The sequence below is a fragment of the Homo sapiens genome, chromosome 5 (genome assembly GCF_000001405.40).
Source record: "Homo sapiens chromosome 5, GRCh38.p14 Primary Assembly".
Classification (NCBI taxonomy): Eukaryota; Metazoa; Chordata; class Mammalia; order Primates; family Hominidae; genus Homo; species Homo sapiens.
Window position 1 is genome coordinate 130,352,500 of NC_000005.10, and position 27,918 is coordinate 130,380,417.

The 27,918-nt window shown below is 36.7% G+C and overlaps 1 long non-coding RNA gene across 1 annotated transcript in view; it reads left to right on the plus strand.

The window, feature by feature from the left end:
* The window catches only part of LOC105379171 (uncharacterized), a 42,488-nt gene extending 15,091 nt beyond the window's left edge, over nt 1–27,397 (plus strand). Inside the window, exons 2-4 of the long non-coding RNA XR_001742880.1 lie at nt 10,192–10,335; nt 15,644–15,824; nt 25,828–27,397. This is a non-coding gene — a long non-coding RNA (uncharacterized LOC105379171). The remainder of the gene's footprint in view (nt 1–10,191; nt 10,336–15,643; nt 15,825–25,827) is intronic.
* The last annotated feature ends 521 nt before the right edge of the window (nt 27,398–27,918 follow it).

Consider the following 27,918-nt stretch of genomic DNA (forward strand, 5'->3'; position numbering starts at 1 on the left):
GAATTCCTTAGGATTTTCTATATACCAGATCATGTTATCTGCAAATACAGATAGTTACTGCTTCCTTTCAAATAGGAATGCCTTTAAATTCATTTTCTTGTCGGATTGCTTGGTTAGAACCTTCAGCACAAAGTGACTAGAGTGGACATTCCTGTCTTGTTCCTGATCTTAGGAGGAAAGCACTCAGTCTTTTATCGTCAAGAACGATGTTAGCTCTGGGCTTTTTGTACAGGCTCTTTATCAAGTGAAGAAGTTCCCCACCCCCTATTCCTAACTTGTTGACCATTTCTATCATAAAAGTATGTTAAATTTTGTCCATTGCTATTTTTTTTGCATCTATTGAGACGATGCATTTTTTGTCTTTTGTTCTATTGATAAGGTATATTGCATTATATGATTTTTAGATGTTAATTAAATCCACCTTTGTCATAGTGTGAAATCTTTTAAAATATTGCTGGATTTGCTTTACTAGTATTTTATTGGAAGATTTTTGCATGTATATTCATAGGAGATACTGGTCGATAGTTTAGGGGTTTGTGTGTGTGCACAAATTTTTTTTTTTTTTTTCTGATGGAGTCTCACTCTGTCACCCAGGCTGGAGTGCAGTGGATCCATCTCTGTTCACTGCAACCTCTGCCTCCCTGGTTCAAGCAATTCTCCTGCCTCAGCCTCCCGAGTGGCTGGGATTACAGGAGTGCACCACCATACCCAGCTAATTTTTGTATTTTTGTTAGACACAGGGTTTCACCACGTTGGCCAGGCTGGTCTCAAACTCCTGACCACAAGTGATCCACCCACCTCAGCCTCCCAAAGTGCTGGGATTACAGGCATGAGCCACTACACCTGGCCATGTGTGTGCTGTTTTTGAGTAGTTTTTGTTTCAGGTTACTATTGACTGCATAAAATGAGTTGAAAAGTGTTCCTTTGTCTTCCACATCTTGAAGGGTTTATGAAGGGTTTAATGAATCTTCAAATGATTCATTAAATTTACCAGAGAGGTTACCTGAGCCTGGGCTTTCTTTGTGGGAAGTTTTAATATAATATTATTAATTCAATCTGTTTATTTATTATGTGCTTATTCAAATTATTTTTTCTTCGGTCTATTTTGGTACTGTATGCATTTTTATCAATTTGCCCATTCCATTTAATGTGTTTACTTTGTTGGTATATAATTCTTCACAGTATTTTTCAATAATCTTTCAAATTTCTGTAAAGTAGGTTGTAATGTCTGCTCTATAATTCCTGATTTAATAATTTGAGTGTTCCCTTTCTTTTTCTTGGTCAGTTTTAGCTAAAGATTTGTCAATTTTGTTGATCTTTCTAAACAACTAACTTTTGGGTTTGTTGATTTTCTCTTTTATTTTTCTATACTTTATATCGCTAATTTCTGCTCCAACTTTTAGTATTTCCTTTACTTCTTGCTTTAAGTTTAGCTTACTCGTCTTTTTCCAGTGTCTTAAATGATAGGTTAGTTCATTTAATTTTATATCTTATCTTTTTAAAAAAAATAGATGTCTTGCAGATACAAATTTTGTTCTAAGCACTATTTTACCTGTGTCCCATAAATTTGCTATGTTGTGTCTTCACTTCCTTTTGAATTACTCTTTAAAAATACTTTTAAATATTTTCTAATTTTCTTTGTGATTTCATACTTAACCAGTGGGTCAGGTAGCAGTGTGCGTGTTGTTTAAGTTCCACAAATTTGTGACTTTTCCAAATGTCTTTCTGCTATTGGTTTCTAATTTAAATCTATTGTAGTCAGAGAATATTCACATCCTTTGCATGATTTCAAACCTTTTAAGTTTGTATATATTTGTTTTGTGTTTTATCATATTGTCTCTTCTGCAGAATGTTCCATGTGCACTTGAGAAGAATATATATTCTGCTGTTTTGAGTTAGTGTGTCCTATAGGTGTCTGTTAGATCTCCTTGGCTCATAATCCTGTTCAAGTCTTCTGTTTCCTTGTTGATTTTTCCCTAGTTGTTCTATCCATCTCTGAAAGTGGAGACTGAAGTCTCCAACAATTATTGTTGAACTATGTCTTCCTCCAATTTTTTTAGTATTTGTTTCACACATTTTGGAGCTGTGACATTAGGCACACATCCATACATTTCTAAACAAACTCCTAGCTGTTTATGTTAACATTACATTATCTTTCTATAGACATCATTTAATTATGTTTCAAATTTCTATCTGAAGATATGTATTAGGTACCATGGCTTAGCTTACTTAATCTTCATTTCACCCATCTTCCAGAGTACATTACTCTACTTCAGAGACCAGAAATCTAAAATCTACATTTGTCAGAATTCTTTGCAGCTACAGTTCTGTGGAAATTAAATTTTACATACATAAAATTTGGAAGATAGAGGTACACAGAAGCAGAGCTTCTCTTATTCTTCTTACCGTCTATTTTTGCTGATAAAATCATGAAAGCATAAGGTTTTTCTGCAGCTATTTTCCATTCACTGTTCTGTAGATTTCTGGTTGTCCAAAGGTAGTTTAGGAGGTATAAGCAGAGTTGTTGGAGCTTTAATTCTATCTTCTAGTCCTTAAATCATAATGTGAAGGTGTGTTGAACCCAATAGTTTTAAAGGTGATCTAGTAAACAGCATCTCTCAGTGGGTCATTTCTGCACTGCTTGGAAAGTCATATGTAGAGACTCATTTTAGATCCCATTCCTCCAGCTTTTCCAATCATTTTAAGCACCTAATTACACCCTATTTCCGCTTAACACCTAAAATAGTTTCTATTTCATGCACAGAGACTTTACTCATAAGAGTATTTGGAGCCAGAAGAGGTTACTTGCAACAGAACTACAAAGATGGGAATCTTAGATCCTTTACCTAACTTATTTAGAATTAAAGGCAGTGATGTCCCTATTAAAACAGGAAATAAGAATACTACTAGTCCATGCCACATGATGACAAAACCGCACCTTAAAATTTTAACTTGATGTCATCTGCAACAAAGTAGCTACTGAGAATAAGGCTATGGCAGATGGAGTGATTCCTACAACAGAAAATTTTGGTGGTACTTTTGATGTGTGGTTTGAGAAGCTGAAGGTAACTGCTTGCTCTGTTGACTGAAACCTAGATTTAGAAGCAATTAAGATGCCAGTTTTTTTGTTATGAGTATTAACATATTTAAGAGACAGGAATGTTTAAGATTAACTTTATAATATATACTCCCCTCACTTTATTTGTTCAAATGAACAACTAAGTCCTTATTTGCTTAATATAACCTGTATGAGTGTGAAGAATAGAGTCCTAATTTAAGCCACCACAATGGAGAGCGAAATCCCAGACCTCAGTCAGCAGAGACACAGCAATGCTTAAATAAATTGGAAATCAAATATTCTTGAGAAAGTTCCATGACATCATTCTTCAAGTATATACTTTAAATATTCTTCCTAGTCTTTTCCAAAGAAATCTTTAGCTATTTCCCATGGTTTTTGTACCTTAAAGAAAGAAAAATAATCAAAGATTTTGAGTATTCATGCTCTCAGTCCTTCAAAGTACACAGTCTCTGCAGACACAGTGTTCCACTGTGTCTCTCAGGTATGACTGAGGGCTTATAAGGGTAAGGTGAGAAATGGAGATTTGACGAAACTTTATCCCCTGTGGCTCTCTGGGTCTAGAAACTCATTTTCTTGCTATTTCCCCTGTTTTGAATGGAGAATGGAAAAATACTCTTAGTAACTGGAAGAATTTCGTTAACTTTCAGAGGACCATTATGATAGGAAAAACCAACTAGAAGCCAAATAACTGCCTCTCCCTTCCAAAAGAGTCATTCAAAAGCAATAGCACATCTTGAAGGGAATTAGTGCCACCACTATGTAGTAGATTGCTGGAAGCATAATCAGGTGATGACAACAATTGTAGCTATCAATCCAGGTGCTGTCTCTTTACTGGAGCAAACCAGTTTGTTTTCACCACCACTAGAAGTAGGACACCTATACTGGTTTACCTCAGGTAGTGTCAAATCTCCAGTGCTGTGTAATAAACTCAAGAAAATCTTCATTGTCTTACCATACTACAGATCATCACAAGGATATTTCCAATGTTGATGTCAGAATGCCACATGGACCTGGTGGGCCAGAAGTATTTGCTATCCCAGTTGTCTTAGAAAGATACAAGTGCATTAGAATGTGGAAGGTAACCCAGTGAAAATATAGGTGCCTGCTACCTTGGTGAAATACACAAGCACATTATCAGTATACTCATTTCACAGTGAAACACAGTTGGCTGCACATTCATGACCCACTGGTGTTGGTAGGCATTTCTGGATTTTGGATGCTGCATACATTATATTTAAGGGTGCTGCTCTGACCATTTACTAAGTAACCTATAAGGCAACTGGCTTAGAATGGGGCTCAAAGTAACTAATTTAAGCTGCCAGTCAAGCAGATATGGTATTACATAACACATTTTTATGACCAAGTAGATATAGTCACCGTTGATGTTTCTATGGTAGATTAGGACATTGTATAAAGGACCTGGAAATCTTCAATAAGATAATCACACCCCTATAATTTTGGAACTAAGCCACAGAACTCACCAAATACTATTGTATTTCACCTTTGAAAAAAATAGCTTCTGGCTTGCTAGTTAGCCTCAGAGGTAGAAACACTATGGGGAGTTTTTATTATTTTGGGAGTCATCCTTGGAGGTCTAGCTTAGAGCCAGATCTTTGAGTTCTTTTGATGATATTTTAATATCTTATATTAAACCTCTTTCTGCTTAAGTACTTTGAGTACCTTCGATTCCCTCTACTGACTCTGACTTATTGGGGATGCCATTATTGGGTTATAAGTCATGATTGACATTAGATTAACATGTAAGTGTAGTGAATGCTTATAACGTCATATTGTCTTGGCATCCATTTTAAATATAAATTAGAAAAGATATAGTATTTCACAGCACAACATGGTGGCTACAGTCAGCAATAATTCGCTGTACATTTTAGAATAACTGAGGGAGTACAATTGGAATGTCTTTAACACAAAAGAATGATGAATGCTTGAGGTGACGGACACCCCATTTATCCTGATGTGTTTATTACACATTGTATGCCTGTATCAAAATACATCATGTGCCTCATAAATATATACGTGTTCTGTGTTCCCATAAAAATTAAAAATACATACATACAAACATACATAACTATAAGTTGGGTTTTCTCATACCAAGAACAGGGCTTAGTCACCCTTGATGGTTTCCAGTTCTACACAACACACTCCTCTTCCCTCAGTTCCTCAATATAGTAGATCCATAAACAACTGCTCCCTAGTAACCACTTTGCTAGAAAACAGCTAGGTGCATGCAGCCTGCTTGACTGGCCCCGCTGACCCTCACACCTCACATGGGCTGTGCACAGTGACTACCTCTCAGTCAGCGTGTGACTTCCTGGAACTCATGCCTCCTTGTTTTAAACCCACCAATTAATATTCCCCACAGGAAACCTGTTTGGAAAATGCCCTGGGCCTATTTGTTTGGCGCACAAGTAATTGCAGTTTTTCCCACCACTTTTAATGGCAAAAACTGCAATTACTCGTGCACCAACCTACTAGTAAAGGCATTGGCTCTCTCTCCCTACCTATGCTCCCTGAACTCTGTGTTTGTGGCCTCCAGGTGTGCTGTGACCCCACCCAGGGCCTGTAAGTATTAAAAACTCATAAACCGATACATGGACCATAACATCCAGCATCTACAAGGAATTTAAACAAATTTACAAGAAAAAAAAAAAACCCATTATAAAGTGGGCAAAGGACATGAACAGACACTTCTCAAAAGAAGACATACATGAAACCAAGAAACGTGAAATAAAAGCTCAATATCACTGATTATTAGAGAAATGCAAATCAAAATCCCAATGTGATATCATCTCACACCAGTCAGAATGGTTATTATTGAAAAGTCAACAAACAGATGCTGGCGAGGTTGTGGAGAAAAGGGAATGCTTTTACACTGTTGGTGGGAGTGTAAATTGGTTCAACCATTGTGGAAGACAGTGTGGTGATTCCTCAAAGACGTAAAGGCAGAAATACCATTCTACCAATTTTTGGTATATACCCAAAGGAATGTAAATCATTCTATTATAAAGATGCCTGCATGTGTATGTTCATTGCAGCAGTATTCACAATAGCAAAAACATGAAACCAACATAAATGCCCATCAATGAGAGACTGGATAAAGAAAACGTGGTACATATACATCATAGAATACTATGCAGCCATAACAATGAATGAAATCATGTCCTTTGCCAGGACGTGGATGGAGCTGGAAGCCATTTTCCTCACCAAACTAACTCAGGAACAGAAAACCAAATACATGTTCTCACTTATGAGTGGCAGCTGAATGATGAGAACACATGGACACATGGAGGGGCACAACACACATTGGGGCCTATTGGAGGGTTGGGGGTGGGAGGAAGGAGAACATCAAGAACAGCTAATGGATGCTGGGCTTAATACCTAGGTAATGGGATGATCTGTGCAGGAAACCACCATGGCACACATTTACCTATGTAACACACCTGGACATCCTGCACATGTACCCCTGAACTTAAAAGTTAGAAAAAAAAAAAAAACTCTTAAACTTTTAACATTGTGGTTGTGTCATTGAAGATGTGTCTGCATTCTAGCCCCTGATGGCAAGGCTGCCCTAAGTGACACAGGCACATGGAAGCCCTGCTGGTGCTCTTTGGTCCTGGCCTGTGGTGGCTGCTGAGGGCAATAGCTACCAGCTAAGTTGATAAAGAAACTCAAAGGGTTTCATTCAAAAAGTAAAATATGAGAAGATGTGACCTTTAGGAATTTTTATTCTATATCACATATGACATTGAGAAAATAACCAATTAATTTCATACATAAAAATAGAAATTTTCCTGGAAGATATGTAAAAAAAAATTTATTCTCTAGAAATAAAATAACAACTATTTAAACATGTATAAAACATTACACCATGTCAAAGCACTGGTAGTCTATCGAAGTGTTCTAAAATTGACCTAAATTGGAAGAAGTTAATCCTGTACTATCTGTTCCTATATGTTCCATTAATATAAAAAAGTTATTTTTACTCTTTGATGTTTAGAAAGATAATGGGTGCTGCAAATTAAAGGCACTTGATCTTATAAATAAGATTGAAGAGCTGACTCTACTTGAAGATGTTTGACTATTAGAATAATTTGAAATCTCCTACTTTATACTGCCCTGAAAAAAAGGAGAAAATATAAAATTAAAGGTTACAAATTTCAAGATAAATTTTATTCAGTTTTAAAAAATCTTCCAGGCAAGAATATTAAACTAACAAAATTGGATCATATTGCTTTCAGGGGTCTTTATAAGAGATTTAATAGACAGAATAATCACTCAAATTCTCATTAAGTGGTATCAATAGCTGACATTTTATCATTTATATTGTTTTTCTTCTTCATTTAAAAAATGTTGATAAGATTCCTGAGATTATTCTTTAAGTTGCACACTAAAATTTTTATTAAAATACATTTTAAATAAATAGAAAACTCAGTTATCAGTCTTAGTATGTCAGATGTTACTCAAAGGAAAATAATAAATCTTACAACAAAACTTTTAAAAATACGGACCAAAGTGGTGTAATATACGCTTGATTATTATACCACATATAATTCATCAAAGATATGATTAATCTGCCTATTTTAACATGAGTCACAAAAGTAAAGAACATAAAGATTTCACTGTGTTCAATAAGCATAGGAGCTATATCATCTTCTTGGCCCACTGACAATGCGAGTAGGAATATAAGCTCCAGTTCAGTTTTCATTTGAGAACTGCTTAATTTTAGATGATATTACTTTTACCAATTGCTGTGTAGAATCTCCTAGATTCTATATTCATATTTTTTCCTGTTCCATTCATTTATATAACAAAAATTTATTATTTGAATAAAAATAGATCACCAGAGAAAGAAAGTCTTCATATGTAAATCAATTGGCCAGAAAACTGTCAAAGTATTTTAATACATTCAAATCACCTATGTGGAAAGAACACACTTAAAACAAGCTGTAAAAATTCTAGTATAATTATATTTCTCCATATGCTGCTTTATCCCACATCCATTAGTACAGATACAAAAGCAAGATTCATTCCCAATCTTATTTTTCTTATTTGTATCCCTCTACCCAGAGCAGCAAAACAGATTTCTAAGATGTAATCATGTTTAACCTTTTTCTTTGCCTTCCCCTATTAAAATATCTCTTATTCTTTACATATTTTTTTCTTTTTTGCCTTTGGAAACTCATTCTAAATGATTTTCTTTCAAGATTTATGTTTGCCTCTTTCTTTCTCCTATATATTGAATCCGAAACATTTATTTGATATTTATTATTTGTTATATACTTTCCTGGGCCCAGGGATATCATAATGAGAAATATCGTACAGATTTCTATGTTTTTCATAGACTTAAAAATAATGAATATACAATAATAATATAAATATAATATAATTATAGGATTTAGAGTTAAAAAGTAGGGATTCTCCTTTACCAAACTTCTCTCTAATCCCATCCCATGGACCCTTAACCACTTTTTCAAGTTTAATGTGCACCCTTTCAGACATTATGTGTACATTCATACAAATATATGTGACCTTTTTTAAAAAATAGAAATTTCTACCTAAGTAAAATCATGCTACTTAAATGTCTTTTTATTGTTGACATGGTGACTTAGCAGTCTCTCCATTTCACAGCATCTAGATCTTATTTAACTACTGTATGAGTTTTTACGAAGGTGTCTTAATGCATTTAATAATTCTCCTACTGATTAACATCTAAATTGTTACTAATGTTTTACTAATACAATCAATCCTATAATGAATATCTTTATACATGTGTGTAGATATTTTTATAAAGAAAATGTATATGTAGGTATACATAGATTTTTTATGAAGCATATTCCAAAATTGTACCTCTGTGATCAAAATAATACTTACAACCCTTATTTCAATACATAATTCCAAAACACACTGCACAAATGTATATTGCCATCAATAATTGTATTAAAATTCCTATGCCTAATTCTCACATACCATCCTCACAATAGTCACTTTAATTTTTATGAATCTGAAATATATTGCTGTGTTAATTTGTATTCTCTGATTTCTGGTGAAGTAGAATATCATTTCATATGAATATAGGCTATTTTTACTCCTTTTGCGAATTACTTAGGTATCTTTGTCCATTTGTTTGTCAGTTCCTTTTTGTTTATTGATATGCAGGCATTATTTATGTATGATAAGTATTTAACGTTAGTGTATTTTACATATGACATCTATTATTTAATGTATAATTAATATGATCAAATCCTTTACATTTCTACTATAATAGTTGCTAAGGCTACTACAACAAAGTATCATAAACTGGGTCGCTTAAATAACAGAAACATGTTGTCTCAAAGTTCTAGAGGCTAAAGTCTGAAATCAAGGTGTTGGGAGGGTAAACTCTTTCTGAGAGCTGTGAGGGAAGGATCTGTTTCAGGTCTCTCTCCTTGGCTTGTAGATGGCTGTCTTCATGTTCACATGATATTCTCTCTGTATCTTCATATTATCTTCTCTCTATACATATCTGTGTATATCTGTATCCAAATCTCCATTTTCTATATAGACGCAGGTCATATTGTATTAGAGCTCATCCCAATGACCTCCTTTTAACTTCCATTACCTCTGTAAAGATCCTATCTCCAAATAAAATCATATCCCAGGGTACTGAGGGTCAGGACTTCAACACATGAATTTTGGAGCACAATTCAACCTGTAACATTTCACCCTCTGTATCCTCTAATTTGTGTCCTTCACATGCAAATATATTCATGTCATCCCAATATCCCTGAGAGTCTTAACCAATTCCAGCAGCAACTCTAAGTCCAAAATCTCATCTAAATATCACCTAAAGCAGGTATGCGTGAGATTGGAGGTATGATTCATCTAGAGGAAAAATTCCTTTCTAGTTGTGAACCTGTGAAACCAGACAAGTTAGCTGCTTCCAAAATAAAATGGTGGGACAGCTATAGGATAAACATTCCCATTCCAAAAGGAAGACATAGGAAGGAGGAAAAGGATCACAGGTTCCAAACAAGTCTGAAACCTAACAAGGCAAATTCCATTTAAATTTTAAGGCTTGAAAATAATCCTCTTTTGCTTCCTGTTCTGTCCTACAGGCCCACAGTAGTGGTAACCCCACTTTCCAGGCCCACCATGTTGGCAATCCCACCCTTTCTGCTCTGAGAAGAGGGCCAGTCCCTCTGAATCCAAGGAGATGACCCCACTCTCTGGAACCAAGCAGGAGATGGTCCCATACACAGGTTTGTGCACTCTGAGCTGTGGTAGCAGTGGCAGCCCTGACATGCTCTGAACCACCTTCCAGGTGTTTGTTCTCTTTTCTGGAAGGACAATTCATGTTAGTGTTATTGGCCTATTTCTTTCCGGTAGAATTCTAGAAGTCTGGCAGCCTTCTTCCATTTTATCCCATCTCTGTTCATCTCCGTTTACTCTAGCAGCATTTCTGCTTGTATAAAATTATCAGAAACCTATTGGCCTCCCCATGCAATTCATGGGGTCCAGTCCATTAGATAAGCGGATCATTTACAGATCTTTCCTGGTTAACTCATCTCTATTCCTGGCTTCTGCTGAGATGGTTGATTGGATCTGTGGGTCACATGCCTAATCTCTTCAGTAAGGGATCATCCAACCACACCCTGGATATTCTCTATAGAATGTGTTTTCTCATTTTGTATAACATGTATAGGCTGAGAATTTTTCAAGCCTTCAAGTTCTAGTTCCCTTTTGCTTACCAATTTCTTATACAATTTCTTATTCAATTTAGCTGTCTTCTCATATTTTACTATAAACAGTAAGGAAAAACCAGGCCATACTTTCAACACTTTGCTTAGAAATGTCTACATTCACCTACTTTCTACAAAACACTACAACACAATTCAGCCATGTTCTTTGTCCCTTTATAATAAGGATTGCCTTTCCTCAGGTTTCTCATAACATGTTCATTTCCATCTGAGGCCTCAACAGAAGCACCTTTAATGTTATTATCTTTACCAACAGTCTCCTCAAGACAATGGAGATTTTTTTTCTATAAAGTGCCTCAAAACCCTTCCAGCCTTTATCCATAATTCAAATCCAAAACCACATCCACATTTTTAGGTATTTGTTATAGGATCTGCCATTTAAAAATATTATTATTATTTTTGTATAGACAAGTTCTTACTATGCTTCCTAGGCTGGTCTCAAACTTCTGGTCTCAAGCAATTCTGCCATGGCCTCCCAAAGCGCTGGGGTTAAGCGTGAGCGACTGGACTCAGTCTCCTCCCAGTTCTTCAGTGAAAAAACTCTACAGCTGATACACTTGCACTTCTTTTTTTGCTTATTCAGATATTCTTCTAGGGATGGGGATAAAGAAATTACCAAAGAAATTAAGTTCCTTCCCTCATGAGGCATCATTTCTATTGGGATGAGATAGACAAATGGATGAATAAATAAATAAACATATAATGTCAGCTTATGATACAGGATCTAGACAGTAGAAGTAGGGCAAGGATGAGGGGTGGAGAGGCTGCTATGTAACACAGAGTGTTCAGGAACAACTTTCTCTGATGAAGTGACATTTCAGCATTGACTTGAATGAGGTAATAGAATATATCATAGGATACATGGGGTAAGAAAATTTCGGACAGGGAAACTGGGTGTAAAGGCCCTAAAACAGAAGTATGGTTGGCTTTGTTTAATGAATAGCAGAAAGGGCAGTGTTGGTTAGAGTGCCTTGAGAGAAAGCTGTGGCATGTCTGTATTATGGCATTAATTCTAATGATGGCTTTCTCATGGGATCCACACAGAACCTCATCAGGTGCCATTCTCAGATGTAACTGACATGCTCACAACTATTTTCTCTTCAAGAATTGCTTTTTTTAATCAATATAAACTTCTGTACTTAAAGCTTGCCACCTTGAATTTTATTTTATCTGATATAATTATCATTACAGATTTTATTGTGCTTGCTTATGACATATATTTTTGTATCTTTTTTTCAACATGTTTATATCATTTTATTTAGATTTATTATTTCAAGTAAGATATAGATGGAAGTATTTTTATGAAATTTTAGAGTCCCAGACTTCTTTTTTAAAAAATTTGAGACAGGATCTCACTCTGTTGCCCAGGCTGGAGTGCAGTGGTGTGATCACAGCTCACTGCAACCTCAACCTCCCAGGCTCATTCATGTGATCCTCCCATCTTCACCTCCTGAGTAGCTGGGACTAGAGATGTGCAATCACTTAATATTTGATATTTATTCATATAATTTTGCTATATGGGGCTAAATGCATAATTATTTACTTATTAAAAAGTAAAAATAGGCCGGGCACGGTGGCTCACGCCTGTAATCCCAGCACTTTGGGAGGCCGAGACGGGCGGATCACGAGGTTAGGAAATCGAGACCATCCTGGCTAACACGGTGAAACCCCGTCTCTACTAAAAATACAAAAAAAAAAAAAAAATTAGACGGGAGTGTTGGGGAGCTCCTGTAGTCCCAGCTCCTCGGGAGGCTGAGGCAGGAGAATGGCATGAACCCGGGAGGTGGAGCTTGCAGTGAGCTGAGATCGCGCCACTGCACTCCAGCCTAGGGGACAGAGCGAGACTCCGTCTCAAAAAAAAAAAGTAAAAATAATAAGTTTGCCTTTTTTAATAAACACAGGCATTTAAAATTTGGAGTTTGGGGCAATAGTTTAATACATGCTTCTAAATCCCATTTACATCAGCAAGTAAGTGGTTATGGTAAAATATTTTTAGCAGTTTGTTTTGAAATCTTAGGATATTCTTCAGTTAAACAGAATTAGCAAGAAAAGATTTTCTCCTTGAAAACAGCATAAATATGAAGAAATCTGACATAAAATTAGCATCCTTGATTGTCTTTAATAAGCTAAACTGTGGTACATAATACATATGTGTTTTTTAAAAATTTTTTTAATAGTATAAAGGTTCTTTGTGAAATTTGAATTATTTTTTGTGAAATCCTGAACTACCACTAGAAACCTAACAGCCATTTGAATCATTGGCTTAAAAAGAGTCATCCATAAAATACTGAAGCTAATACCATACATATAATTTGTAATTAGTCTGATGGGGCTAAATATACTAGTTCTCTTTTTGGGGGCTTTCAAACTAATTTTTAAACCACTTAATATATTCTTTTTTAATTTTAAAACTTATTTTTAATTGAAAAATAACAATAATATATTTATGGGGTTGCAGTGGGATGTTTTGATATATGTTTACAATATAGGATGATTAAATCGGACTAACAAATCCATACATTATATACTTATTTTGGGGGGAACATTTAAAATCTAATCTTGTGGCAAATTGGAATATACAATGCATTATTATTTATTATAGTCACCATTTGTGCAATAACTCACTAAAGTTTATTTTTCCTGTTTTACCCTTTGATCAACATCTTCCCTTCTCCCACTTCAGACTCTCCCTAGCCTTTGGTAGTCTTCATTCTAGTCTCTACTTCCTTGAGTTAAAATTGTTTAGATTCCACGTGTAAGTGAGATCCTGCAGTATTTGCCTTCCTGTGCCTGGCTTATCTCACTTCACATGATGTCCTCCATGTTTGTTCATCTTGTTGCAAATGACAGGATTTCCCCCCTTTACAAGGCTGAATAGCAGTTTATTGTGTAATTATAAATCACATTTTCTTTATTTATCTGATGAGGAACTCCTAGGTTGTTTCCATATCTTGGCTATTGTGAAGAATACTGCAATGAACATGGGAGTGCAGATATCGCTTCATCAGCAAGATATTTTAAATTAGACTCAATACCTAGTTTGCTTTCCCAATTTCCTTTAACTGAACACATTAGTTAATATTTTAGAAGATTCAAAGAGGCTTTCCAAGAAATTTAGCTTCATAACACCAACTAAAATAGCTATGTCTTGAGAGATTGAGCAATTAAATCACTTTGATAAGAGCATATGAGGTCTTTTGTATGATTAAATGTATCGAAATCTGGCTCTTTGAAAATAATAAGACTCAGAATTAGAAAAAACTCTATTTTTTTGTGACATCAAAACCATGCAAGATGTGACAAAGCAGAGCTTTAAAACAATCCTGTTGATGCCTAGAGGGTATTTCTTTCTTAATAACAGCCTTAACCAGAGGAAATTTTACACACACACACGTGCACACACACATACGTATTTTAGTTTTCTAAACTCATTGCTTAAATTCAATCTCTACAAAAATAAGAACTTTTTTTTTTTTTTTTTTTGAGGCAGAGTCTTGCTCTGTCGCCCAGGGTGGAATGCAATGGTGCCATCTCAGCTCACTACAACTCTGCCCCCTGGGTTCAAGCGATTCTCCCGCCTCAGCCTCCCGAGTAGCTGGGATTACAGGTGCCTGCCACCATGCCCAGCTAATTTTTGTACTTTTAGTAGAGATAGGGTTTCACCCTATTGTTCAGGCTGGTCTTGAACTGCTGACCTCAGGTGATCCACCCACCTCAGCCTCACAAAGTGCTGGAATTACAGGCATGAGCCACCACACCCAGCCCAAAATAAGAACATTTTAATCTCTTCATGATACACTCTGGCTGGAGATTTAGGCACCTTTAGAGTATAAAGTGATTAGCATTCAGACAATTTTCATTCCCAACAAAAGCTTCTGGACAAATTGATGGGTAAATTGAACAAACTATCAGTTCTGTCTCATTATTAAAGAACAGCATTTTGGCAATTTCTCTGCCAGGGCCTTTGTTTTAATTTTAAAACATGGCTTACAATTTGTGATAGACGGGTCCACTGGATTTTGCAATGCTTTCATCAAGTTCCCTGTGTCTCTTTGAGTCCAGCTGAATCTCATTTGCCTTCCATTTTGGATTATACATTTGGAGCACCATGTAAAGGCTATATAAGCAGTAGCAGAATGATTCCAGAACTGTTCCAACCATTGCTTTCAGCTTTAATTCACCTTTTTAGTCTTCGATTATGTTGACAAGACCAAGATGTGAGTTTGATTATTAATGCTTCTATAAAGTCTTGGTGCTTATGACACCATTAGAGCAAGAGAAATCAGGGCTTTTATCTTAACTAGACATATTATAATTTAAAGTGATTTTAAATTATCTAGTAATAGTGCGATTCCACTTTTAGATCAATCAAAAGATGACACTTCCGCCACAGCAAATAAAAAGAAAAACTTTGTAAATGCTAACATCATGGTTTTGTTCAATGAGAGTTGTATGATTCAAAAGTGCCTGGTATAGAAGTAGGATTAAAGAAAAAAGGATTCCCTTTGGAAAACATTTAGGCAACCAGTATTAAATAATTCTGTATTTTAAAACATCTTACCATTCAATTACCTCCAGGTTTTAGTTTCAGTCACTCTGTTAGGCATATGGTGAAATCATATTGATGGCCACCAGAAGTTCCTGAGAGAATTGTTAAAGACTTTTTTTCTACTTTCAGTGAATAAAATTTTAGGATAAAAGTAATTTTTTTAAAATTACTTTGGGGGGACTATGATGACATTTTAAAGTGTCATTTAGCTAGGCTGTACTAGATTATGCAGAATTCCCTTTTTTATGCATTTCCAATTAGGGTGAAGCACAAAGGAGATTCTTGCAAGATTTGGAAGACCTAGGGAAGGAAGTGACATTTTATGGCTGACCTATGCTGTTGCTGATCTGCTGCATCATTTCAATGGCATAAAGCAGCATCTAGATCTGCGGTTGTTTAGCCTTTTCTGGATTCATCTTCAGTTTTTTGACCCCTGAGCCAGGTAGGTGTTTAGCTCTGAGATAAAGGCCTTTGCAGGATACCCTTTTAACCAAGGTCAGAGGCAACAAGAATGGACATGCATTTCAGTTTATCCTTGTGGGGTTTCTGACATGCTTGCAATCTTCCCTTCCTGATTCCTTGCCTGTGGACTTCAAGCTCCAACATAAGATACAGAGACATAGTTTTCAAAAGACTGCTTAACCAGCCCTCATAATAGTGTAAGTCAATTACCAGTATCAAACACACATATGTATATATACAGGAATGTATACCTATATAAAATATATCTTGCTGGTTCTGCTTCTCTAGTTGAACCCTGAATGGTACAGAATTCTTCACTAAGCACTGGCTCTCATTGAAAGAAATTGAATAGGTTCTATATTTGTTGTGGAATATATTACTATGTTGTGCTCAAAGATGGAGGAATGGTTGTATCTGGAATGGAAATAGAGTGTAAGGGGCTATAAGATTGTAGATGGTAAAAAGTATGGGAAATCAATATACAACATTCTCCTGTTTTGATTTTTAACATTCTATTTGTCTTTCTCATCTTGAGACAACCCAACATACTTGCTAACAAAAGACTTGTATAGTTTACATTTATCTTCACTTATTTTTCTCATATCCAATAACATTCTATTTCTGTAGTTAAAATATCACAGCTTGATAGCCAATAATGTTATTACCTAGTTATATAAACAACTTAACCCCAAAGAAATTAGAAGAATCATCATAATCAATATAATAATTACAGTCAGTGTTTCAGCAATTAAGTGCTGGAAGAAAATGAACCCATGTCTTCACAGCTCTGAGTTAAAATAACTTTGAATCTAGAATTCTATACATAGCCCAACTTTCAATCAAGTACAAGAGAAGAGTGAAATTATTTTCAGTCATAAAGTTTTTCCCCATGCACTCTTTTTGAGAAAATAAGAGCACACTCTGAAAACAAAGGAAATTCAATAAAGAAGATACATGGAATCCAAGAAATAAGACAACTCGACCAAAAGAGCAAATGGAAAGAAATCTGAGGAAGACAGCTGGGCAGTAAACCTGAAAAATAACTAGTCTACAATTGATGGGGGAGTTCTTAGGATTTCAAGAAGAATATCCTTAGAAAAAAAGGATTCTCACTGCAACAAATAATATGATGAGGATGGTGAACAATTTTAGAGATAATATTTATTATTGTCCTATTTATCTTATCTTTTCTCAAGAAGAAACAGAAAAGTCAATACAAACTTCCGGGATAAGGGTACGGAGAGTTGTACAAGAAATTCATAATCAAAATACATAATTTTGAGTAATCTTGAATAATAATTTTGTTCTAGAAAATGGTATCTACAGGAGACAAGTATTATGCTTTTTTGTCTACCTAAAACCTTTTTAACATCTCTTCTAGGCTAGGAGAGTTTTTGTCCCTGGTTTTGTTATCCCTAAGGCAGAAAGTCCACAATCACTTCTCCAGCCTCCCTTCAGTCATGTATGTAACCCAGCCTGTGCCATTCAGATGCACCTTTATGAGACATTAATTCAAAAGTAGATGATGTGAAGAAGCAATTACCATTCTGACATGAGTTCAAATGAGAGAAGAGGCAGAAGTCTAAACATCAAGTGCTCAGAATAAACAGATTTATTCTAGGGACTGTGTCTTTGGGAGGCAGCAGTGAGTCTTCACTGGATTCTGTCTATGTTGTCAATGTTTCTCCTTACATTGTCCCCAGACTTGATTTTCCGTTGTGACATAGAATCTACAAATGCATGTGTTTTTTGTTGCTGTTGTTGTTCAAACTACCTAGCCTGGGTTATGTCGTTTAAAATTTAAAAATTGACTAACAGTAATTGGGACCAACAGTGGTTAGAGAGAGTAGGATTTCAAGAAAATTAGTATTAACAGTGATTATTTGACATTAGTAGAAATCTCACTATCATTTGGGGATGCAGCTCTGGCAACCGATAACTGGAAGAGATAAAATAGTTAATTGAACTATCAAGCAAACTTACCTAGAATCAAGTATAGACTTAAGGCAAGACTTCTGAGACCTTGTAGTCACTGCCTAAGAGTAATAAGGAGGACGTAAGGCTTCTTCTCTTTGTGCTGGAGAGTTCAAATAAACAGATTGACTGGACTGATATCCCAAATCTTTGCTCAAATCATGGTAAAAGGACCAAGGATTTTCTATGACTTTACTATAAAAGCCTCTCATCTATTGCTTTCACAGTGTTGAAATCACTTTAAAAAATCAATTATAATTTTGACTTTGTAAATTACTCCTGGTTTTGGGGGTTCCACTTAACATTTCTTATAGAAAAGGGTTTATGCTGCTGAAAACTTTGAAAATTGATGTCTTAAACTATATTAATTTTAAATAAGCCACATATTTCTCTTTGAGCTCTAGGGCATCAGAAAAGCTTTCCCAGGTTCCCTGTGCATTCATGGCAATGGTTATATCCTCTGCAACGAACTATAACATCCTTTAGAGCTATGTAACAAGTAGGCCAACTAACAAGGGTTAGCAGATAAGCTCAGAATAACTGAGACCTCCAGTCAGAAGCGGGGAGCCATGTTCACTAGAAAGGTCTTTTTCATAGGCCTCCACCCAATGCCCACAAAAAAGCAGGCGGTTGTAAAATTGCCACCTCTGTGATGCAGGTGCACAGGTAGTTTTCAGCTGCTCCCTGGGTCAGGCATCAAACATCAACTGCTTTTCTGGGCACTACTCTCATACAAAATATAAAGACACACTGCTTCGTGGCCAGGTGCGGTGGTGCACGCCTGTAATCCTAGCACTTTGGGAGGCCAAGGCAGGTGGATCACCTGAGGTCAGGAGTTTGCAACCAGCCTGACTAACATGGTGAAACCTCATCTCTACTAAATACAAAAAAAAAAAGAAAGAAAGAAATTAGCCAGGCGTGGTGGTGCATGCCTGTAATCCGAGCTACTCTGGAGGCTGAGAAAGGAGAATCACTTGTACCTGAGAGGCGGAGGTTGCAGTGGGCCAAGATTGCACCATTGCACTCCAGCTTGGGGAACAAGAGCAAAACTCCGTCTCAAAAAAAAAAAAAAAAAAATCCACTGCTTCTAGGCAAGGGTAGAGGCAGAGGCCCTGTGCCCCAGTGGAGGAGCAGAAAAATCACTTGGTCCAGGCTCCTTCATGGACACCAAATAGAAATTGGCTACAACTGGGGAAGGAACAGGAAGCTCTCCTGTCCAAGACCCAACAAATACATAGGCAGAGTCTGACTGCCAAGTAGAGGAGGGGCAGGGGTGCTTAAAAGACCATTTATCCAAGGCCCAGGATCACAAGCCCTGCACAGTATTGAAGCTGAACAAGTAAAACTGAAAACATCTTTGCTGCACCACCATGAGCTCAACAATCTATCAATGAAGAAAGAATGAGAAAATGTCCTCTCTGTGGCACAAACATTCAGAAACTACTGAAAGCTGAGGAAATTGGAAACACTGAGAAAAAATACCCTGGCATCTCAGGCCATATACTGGGTACAAAATAACAGAAGCCGAGAACTGGAGGAATTTGAAGCCAGTGAGGCACAGATAGCTGTGGGACAATACCAAAGACTTTAACATAGATGTGATTAAAATCCACAAATAACAAGACAGAATCAAAAGAACAGCACAGAGGAATATTTGAAGAGGTATTGGCCAAGAATTTCCAAAGTTAGTGAAATAAAAATGGACCATATATTCAAGAAGCTTAGAACTCTCTAGCAGAATAAACAATTTAAAAAGAAAATAAACCAAACCAAACCAAACATCACCTAGATACATTATAGTCAAACTTCTGAACATCAGAAATAAAGAGAGTACCTTGAAGGTATACAGAGAATAAAAGTATTACTAGATACAAAGGAACAAAAGTAAAAATTATAGCATACTTTTCATTAGAAACTATACAAGTCAGAAAAAAAAGAGCAATATCTTTATGTTCTGAGTGAAAAAAACTCATCTAGATTTCAATATGTAGCAAATACATATTTTAATAATGGCAAAGTAAATAATTATTGGAAAAACAAAAGCTGAGAGACTCAATGCAAGCATACCTGCAGTGCAAGAAGTAAATAAATGTCTTCAGGCATAAGAAATAGTATAACAAATGGGAATCTGATCTACACAAAGAATATGAAAGCACTGGAAAAGGTAAAGTTAAAGATAAAAATAAAAGCCATTTTTTTCTTACTTTTAACCACTAAAAGATAATTGACAGTTTAAAGCATAAGGAAAACAATGTATTTGGTGGTTATGTAACATCAGTGGAGTCCATTCTCACACTGCTATAAAGAATACTACCTGAGACAGGGTCATTATAAGGAACGAGGTTTAATTGACTCACAGTTCTGCAGGTTTAACAGGAAGCATGGCTAGGAGGCCTCAGGAAACTTACAATCATGGTGGAAGGGGAAGCAGGCACCTTCTTAACAAGGCGGCAGGAGTGTCAGCGAGAACCAGAAAGTGCCTCATTTAAAACCATCAGCTCTTGTGAGAACTCCCTCACTATCATGAGAACAGCATGGGGAAAACTGCCCCCCAGTCCAATCATATATATATCCAATATATATGATTGGATCATATATGTGTGTGTGTGTGTGTGTGTGTGTGTGTGTGTGTGTGTATGGAGAGAGAGAGAGACATAGATCAGAAGGGATTTATTAGGGGAATTGGTTCATTTGATTATAGAGGCTGAGAAGTCCCATGATAGGCCATACGCAAGCTTGAGAACCAGAAAAGCCAGCCAGCAGTGTGACTCAGTTCAAGTTCAAAGGCCTCAGGACCAAGGAAGTTGATGGTGAATCTCAGTCTAAAGCCAAAGGCCCATGAACCCCAAGGGGAGAGGGTTTTTTGGAGAGGAGGCAGCACAGGTGCAAGTCTCAAAGGGTGGAGGATATGGAATTCTGTTGTCCAAGGGTGGAATAAGGGTGTTCAGGCTCTGGAAGAGACAGTAAGAATTCTCCTTTCCTCTACTTTTTTGTTCCATTCTAGCTGGCTGATCAAATGATACCTGCCCACAGTAAGGGCAGATCTTCTCTACTCTTTCCACTGACTCAAATGCCAATCTCTTTTTGAAACACCATCACAGACACACCTAGGGCAGCTCAATCTTCTAATCTAATGCCAAACCACCTGGCTTATTTTTAACAGAAGAGGGACAGGCTCAGTGCCTATAGAAGCACTGAGAATATTTAGTGCCTTTCCAGCTACCCAAGTATCCCTTAATCCAGTCAAGTTGATACCCCAAATCAGCCATCATGGTTAGTAAGAGGTAAAATGTATTTGCTAGTAGCTCCATCCATGTAATTCCTCAACAATTAATATTCTGAGCCAGAATTTAGATGTTAGATGGGTTTATCAACCAGTCCTCATTTGTCATATGAATGACTACAGTCCTTAATTACTCTTTCTTGAACTTCTTTCTCTGAAAACACAATCACTTGGACATCTTTAATATAGTATGTAATTCTTGATAATTATTGATTCCAAGTTGCTCCATCCTTGATTATGACAGTGCAATGGACTTATAGTTTATATCCCGCTAAAATTCATATATTGAAACCTAATCTCCAATAGTGATGGTATTAGGAGGTGAGGACTTTGGGAGGTGATTAGTCATGAGTATGGAGCCATCATGAATGGGATAAGTTCCCTTATAAAAGAGACCCCACAAAGCTCCCTAGTCCTTTTACTCAGGCCTCTGAGCCCAAGCTAAGCCATCATATCCCCTGTGACCTGCACATATACATCCAGATGGCCTCAAGCAACTGAAGAATCACAAAAGAAGTGAAAATAGCCAGTTCCTGCCTTAACTGATGACATTCCACCATTGCGATTTGTTCCTGCCCCACCCTAACTGATCAATTAACCTTGTGACATTCCTTCTCCTAGACAATGAGTCTCAGAACCTCCCCACTGAGTACCTTGTAACCCCCATCCCCGCTCACAAGAGAATAACCCCCTTTAACTGTGATTTTCCACTACCTACCCAAATCCTATAAAACTGTCCCACCCCATCTCCCTTTGCTGACTCCATTTTCGGACTCAGTCCGCCTGCACCCAGGTGAGTAAAAAGTTTTATTCCTCACACAAAGCCTTTTTGGTGGTCTCTTCACATGGACGCACATGACAGTTTTTGCCATGTGACAATCCAGGCAGGCCCTCATCATACACCAAATTGCCAGCTCCTTGATTTGCAGTTTCCAGCCTCCAGAACTGTGATAAAAAAATTTCTGTCATTTTAAAGCCATCCAGACTATGTTATTTTTGTTATAGCAGCTGAAACAGACTAAGGCAAATGGTGTGCTGATGAATTCAAATATCCCTGTGGCAAAAAACACACATGTATATTAAATGTCATCTTATAAAATGTAAATTGTGCCTAACGGGACTCTGAGACAGAAATGAAAAAGAAGATAATTGCCATGCCTATCATAGCAAATCAATTGACTTTCCCTGTTGTACTTTTTGTCCTGTCTTTACTATATGAGTATAGCTGAAGTAATAGGGGAAACATCATGTTTCTTCCCCATAGTCTACTCTGTCTCCAGAAAATCTGCCTTGAGTTCTGGACTGACAGGACTATTAGAGAGTTTTAGAATCAGTACTTTACCCTCGACTATTTTCCTAATCAGGGCAACTATCCCTTGTTGCCCTTCTGCAAATCCATATTGCTTGTGAGGAAGTCAGAATAAGATCATTAGCATGTTTCCAGGAAGATATGGAGCCCCACATATTTGCCAGCATTAATGCCTAATGCACACATCCCTGGTTTATACTTTCTTCATCATTCTTTTTTTCTTTCTCTCCTCTCCTCTTCTTTTCTCCTCTCTTCCTCTCTCTCTCATCAATTTCATCATCTAGTCCAGCCCAGTGGGTATTCTTTGACCTATCAGGCTGAAGACCCTAACAGATACAAGGAAATTTTACCAATGTTCTATAATCAAGTGATGCATATGCATGAAGCTATGTTTTTGTCCTTGACTGTCTCTTTTTCCTCTGTAGGTGGAAGGATTATAACAAATGATGCATTTTTCATATAGCAAGAACACAGATATTTTTCCTTTTTATTTCTCTCTGCCAAATATACTGCCTCTCTCATAAATGCTGGTGTAATTTTTTTTTGGCAAGTTTATGCTATTCCATGCACTTAGTCACAAACTTTCAAATGCATTTTTGTCACAGAAATGTAGTTCCGCTTTAGAAGGACCATCAGTCCTGTGATCAGGGCCTGGAATCAGAACCCCTTTTGCCTACTCATACTTCTTTCTGGACTTTTTTTAGCAGCTTTATTTCCCAATTATTATTGGTCATGTATTCTACCAAGGGCTTTAGAAACAGTTTTCAAAAATTTGTTTAAACCTTAGATGCCTTAGAAAGTACTTAATATCATTTCCATTTTACAATTGAAATTGAGGCTTGGGTGGGCTAAATAAGTTGCCCAAGATCACACAGTAAATTGTTGTGGGATGAAAAATGGCATTTTCATCACCAAGAATGTATTTATTAAATTTCTAATAATAATCATCAATTTTTAGGGCAACTGTTTCTGAAGCTCTGTTCTACAAGCCCACTGTCTTCCTGGCTGAACATCCCTATGTTTGCTCCTGAGAGAAGATGGAGCTATAGCCATCTCCCAACAAACTAATAAAAATCATGGCATGGAAGAGAGAAGATCATGCCAAGAGATGGGGAGAAATTCAGTTCTGATCATACAATTTGATCCTTGAATTCAACTCTACCTGAATCCAGATTCCCTTGAAATGTTAATTATATGAACAAATTCCCATTACTTGCTCAAGCTAGTTTAAATCATGTTTTCTGTCCCTTGTAATGATACGTTAGTGGAGCCAAACTTTAAATCCAGCTCTGCATAACTTTAAAGTTGATGTAATAATCTCTACATAAAAGTGCCTTTCAATGTTTATTATACTGAGGACAGAGGAAGTTCAAGGGAATCTTCACTAATATCTAGTGACTTATAAGTAAAAGATACTGTAATTTCCTTCTTCTATTAATAATGAGAAAATTGTCTTGTAAGAATTCAAATGCATGCAATGTGACAATTTACTGAGGAAATGCAAAAGTAATAGCTGGCTTTCTCAAAATGATAACTTACATTATATATGAGTTTTTCATTACTAATGCCATTATATATTTTCTGTAGACATGAGGCATATTTTACTTGAAAGTCTCCAGTAAAGAGAGATCTCAATGTTATTATTTCCCTTTTTCCAAAAGCATATCCTCTAATAGGTGACATTTTCCCCTGCTAGCTTGAATTATGTAAATGTTTCTTAATAGAAGTCACATAAACAGCCCATTTGTTTTACTTCTCTTCTTTCTAGTGCCAAATCAATATATTCTAGTGATGGGACAGATAACTCTGTTCTCCTCCTGCCTCCACTCAAAAGGAAATCATTTCACCGATTTAGACTCTTTGAACCTGACCTCATATTTAAGCCATCAGGATGAATTGGAGCCAAAGGAAAAATGACTATCCTGAAAGACATAACCCTTAGCAGGGCTGATGAAAGATTTCTCACTTGGCACATGGGCAATTTGCTACTCCTTGTGCTAGATGAAAACATAGTGTGTGTTAATTTTTGAGTAATACTTATGCTCCCTGGCTCTGAAATGAATAAAATTCTGCAATTGTTTGTCAAGTATCCATTTAAAGACACTCATTCATTAATGCCCTTGGCACAGAAATACTCAATAGCAAATCTTGTGCCCCATGTACTATACCTACCTTAGCCTGACTGCTGGATAGTTCCTCCATATGACTTTTATGACTTCTTTTTTTGTGTGTGTGTGTGTGACAGAGTTTCGTTTTTGTTGCCCAGGCTAGAGTGCAACGGCACCATCTCGGCTCACTGCAACCTCTGCCTTCCGGGTTCAAGTGATTCTCCTGCCTCAGTCTCCCAAGTAGCTGGAATTACAGGTGCCCACCACCACACCTGGCTAATTTTCGTATTTTTAGTAGGGTGGGGTTTCACCATGTTGGCCAGGTTGCTCTCAAACTCCTGACCTCAGGTGATCCGCTGCCTTGGCCTCCCAAAGTGTTGGGATTACAGGCGTGAGCCACCGCGCCCGGCCCATGACTTATCTGAAGTTAGTGCCAGCGATTTACTGAGCAATGGGTAAACATGGGAACAATTAACAATTATGTATAAAACATGGCAGCAACGTAAAGCAGATTTAGTGAGCCTGCAGAAAAAAATCCCAAGACACAGAACTGCTTGATAAAATAGGCTTACCAACTAGCTTTGATTTCATTTGGATTCTTCATTTTTCAGGCTTCCAAATTATTGCCTCATTGCTGCTCTGAGTACCAGTGCTGCCTCCCATAGGCTGGGGGATGCAAAACAGTATTTTTCACATGTAAAGATTCATTTTACTGTGAGGTCCCTTAATTATATCAGTTGTCAACTTAGACCTTTATGAGGTATGAAATTGGGAGGGAGTAGAGGGAAGCTATGGAAACTTTACAGGGTTGGGTAGAGGCCAAGAGGCCAAGACCTGTTTATGCAAAAGACCAATGGGCAGTTAATTGCCTAGAGACCTCTGACTCAATTTTTAAAAATTAATTAATCAATTAATTTATTTATTTATTTAACTTTGCATCCTTGCCTAGGGGAAAAGGAGTATAGCATTCATTCATCAACCTATTTATTGAGAGTCTGTGATTATCAGTCACTCTAAGTGGTAGTAGTAAGGCGGAGGTTTAGGGAGGTAGAGTGGAAAGAACAACATTGAAATATGGTTTTTATCCTGAAGAAAATCATACTGAGTGGAAAATTAAAACATTATTTTTTTAAGTCAATGGCATAGAAATACATTCAGGGGGGCTGAAATTTCAAAGGAGCCTCTCATCATTTCTCCCCATTACTCCAACTCCATCACACACATTTTCACCCACCATGACTTTTCCAGCTTGGATTCATAACAATCGTGTTTTCAGTATGCTCCCTGACTCAATCTCTGTCTTTTTCAGACTCAGAGTTCACCTCCTCCAGGAAGCCTTCCTTGAGACGCCATTGCTCACCTGGCTCTACTTGCTTGACCAGAAGTACTTTAAAGATTATATCTTTACATTTTGTATCTGCAGGACTTGAAATATAATGAACATTCCAGACATAATTGATGAATAAAATAACATCCAATCCCTTCATTTTATAGATTGGTTGATGAAGACCTTGGACTTTTGGCCAAGATTGAACATCTACAGTGGAGATTATTTAGTGCTGTTTTCTATTCACAGGCCTAGCCACTCCAACCTGTCTGTTGTCTTTACATCATAGGACTTTACCCAAGGTGCACTCTATAATACATGCCAGTCCAAATATACATTCTGACAGACAATCTAGCTGCCCACATCTGTCAGATGGCTCTTTCTGTGACAACTGAGGATAAGAATTTTTTTCTTTAAGAATTAGAGCTAAATATTATGAAATATAATCTAGACTTCAAGAAACTTTGACAGTTACCTGTATCACCGTCTGTGGATGAATAAAAATCTCTTTGACATCTAAGACAAAATGGCCATTCACCATCTATCTGAAAATTCTAGTGAGGACAGCCATACTTTCTGAGGCATGTTGAATGGCTAACATTTTAGAATTCTTCCTTACATTGGCTGAAATATGACTGAAGTTTCACAGATTTACCCTTATTCCTCATGATAAAAGTACAGAAGTTTGTTAAGTGTCCTTGGTGACAGGTTGGTCAAGATTGGACCTTCCATAGGATTACTTAGTCTCACATCCCCTCATGGCTACGGATCTCATAAGGATGGGTCTGAACATCAAAAATATCACTGTTTTTATTCAGGTACTGACAGCGCCATATAAATATGGCTTAAAGCATGGCTATAAGAAGAGTGAATATTCTAATGACCTGTCTTGAGTGAAGCTGATGAGACTGTATTTTGAGTCTTACTGTACCTGTTAAGGCTATGCAGCGTATTTAGAGAGAAATGTGGAATTTGTTATATAAAGGTAAGTTTAAATAGGGTGCTAATATCTATGAAGGTCAACTTTGTTAATTCAACACAAATAAAAATCCAAGCCATGGTCATTCAGCACACATAAAGTCTAAGTAATTTCAAATAAAATTACTGCTTGGCTGAATGCTTAAGCAATTTTGGATTGCTGGAGTGAATCAAAGAATACTCATAATGTAAGCTCATTAGATTCACAGAGAGATATGCTGATTTAATTCAAGTGTTCTGCTGTCCATTTAAACTTCACCTTCTTTTCTTACTTTGGATTACTAGATGTTTTTGTTAATCTTATTTGACAAGCTGCATCTAGTCTTATGAATTTAACCTTTTTGTGAATTGTCTTTGCTATTAAAAATTCTGTAACTGTCAATCACTTGAATCATGTGGAGTTATGAAAAATGTCTGATCCTTGAATGTATATCTTTTCTCTCTCCATCTGTAATATCTTACTATGTACAGAATAAATTAGAAACTTATCTGTGATGTTAATATTTCTGATAGCTTAAATATGTCACTTTACATACGATTTATATGTAAAATGATTTCTAAATATGATAAAATGTATCCCAGACTTAATAGAGGTTTAGCTGATATTTTGGCTCAGCTTTTATTTTTTTAATTAATTAATTAATTAATTAATTAATTAATTTGTTTTTGAGACAGAGTCTTGCTCTGTCACCAGGCTGGAGTGCAGTGGCACGATCTCAGCTCACTGCAACCTCCACCTCTTGGGTTCAAGCGATTCCCCTGCCTTAGCCTCCCAAGTAGCTGGGATTACAGGCATGCACCACCACGCCTGGCAAATTTTTTGTATTTTAGTAGAGACGGGGTTTCACCATGTTGGCCAAGACACTCTCGATCTCCTGACCTCGTGATCCACCCACCTCGGACTCTCAAAGTGCTGAGATTACAGGCGTGAGCCACCACGCCCGGCCAGCTTTTATTTTATAGTTTGGTGTTTCTATGGGAGATTTAGGGGGAAACCTTAGTTTCTTCTTTTGTCACATAATGTTTCCCGCCATATAGGAAAAGATAATATTTTAAAAAATTACAAAATTACCCTAAAAAGGAGTTCCCTTTTCT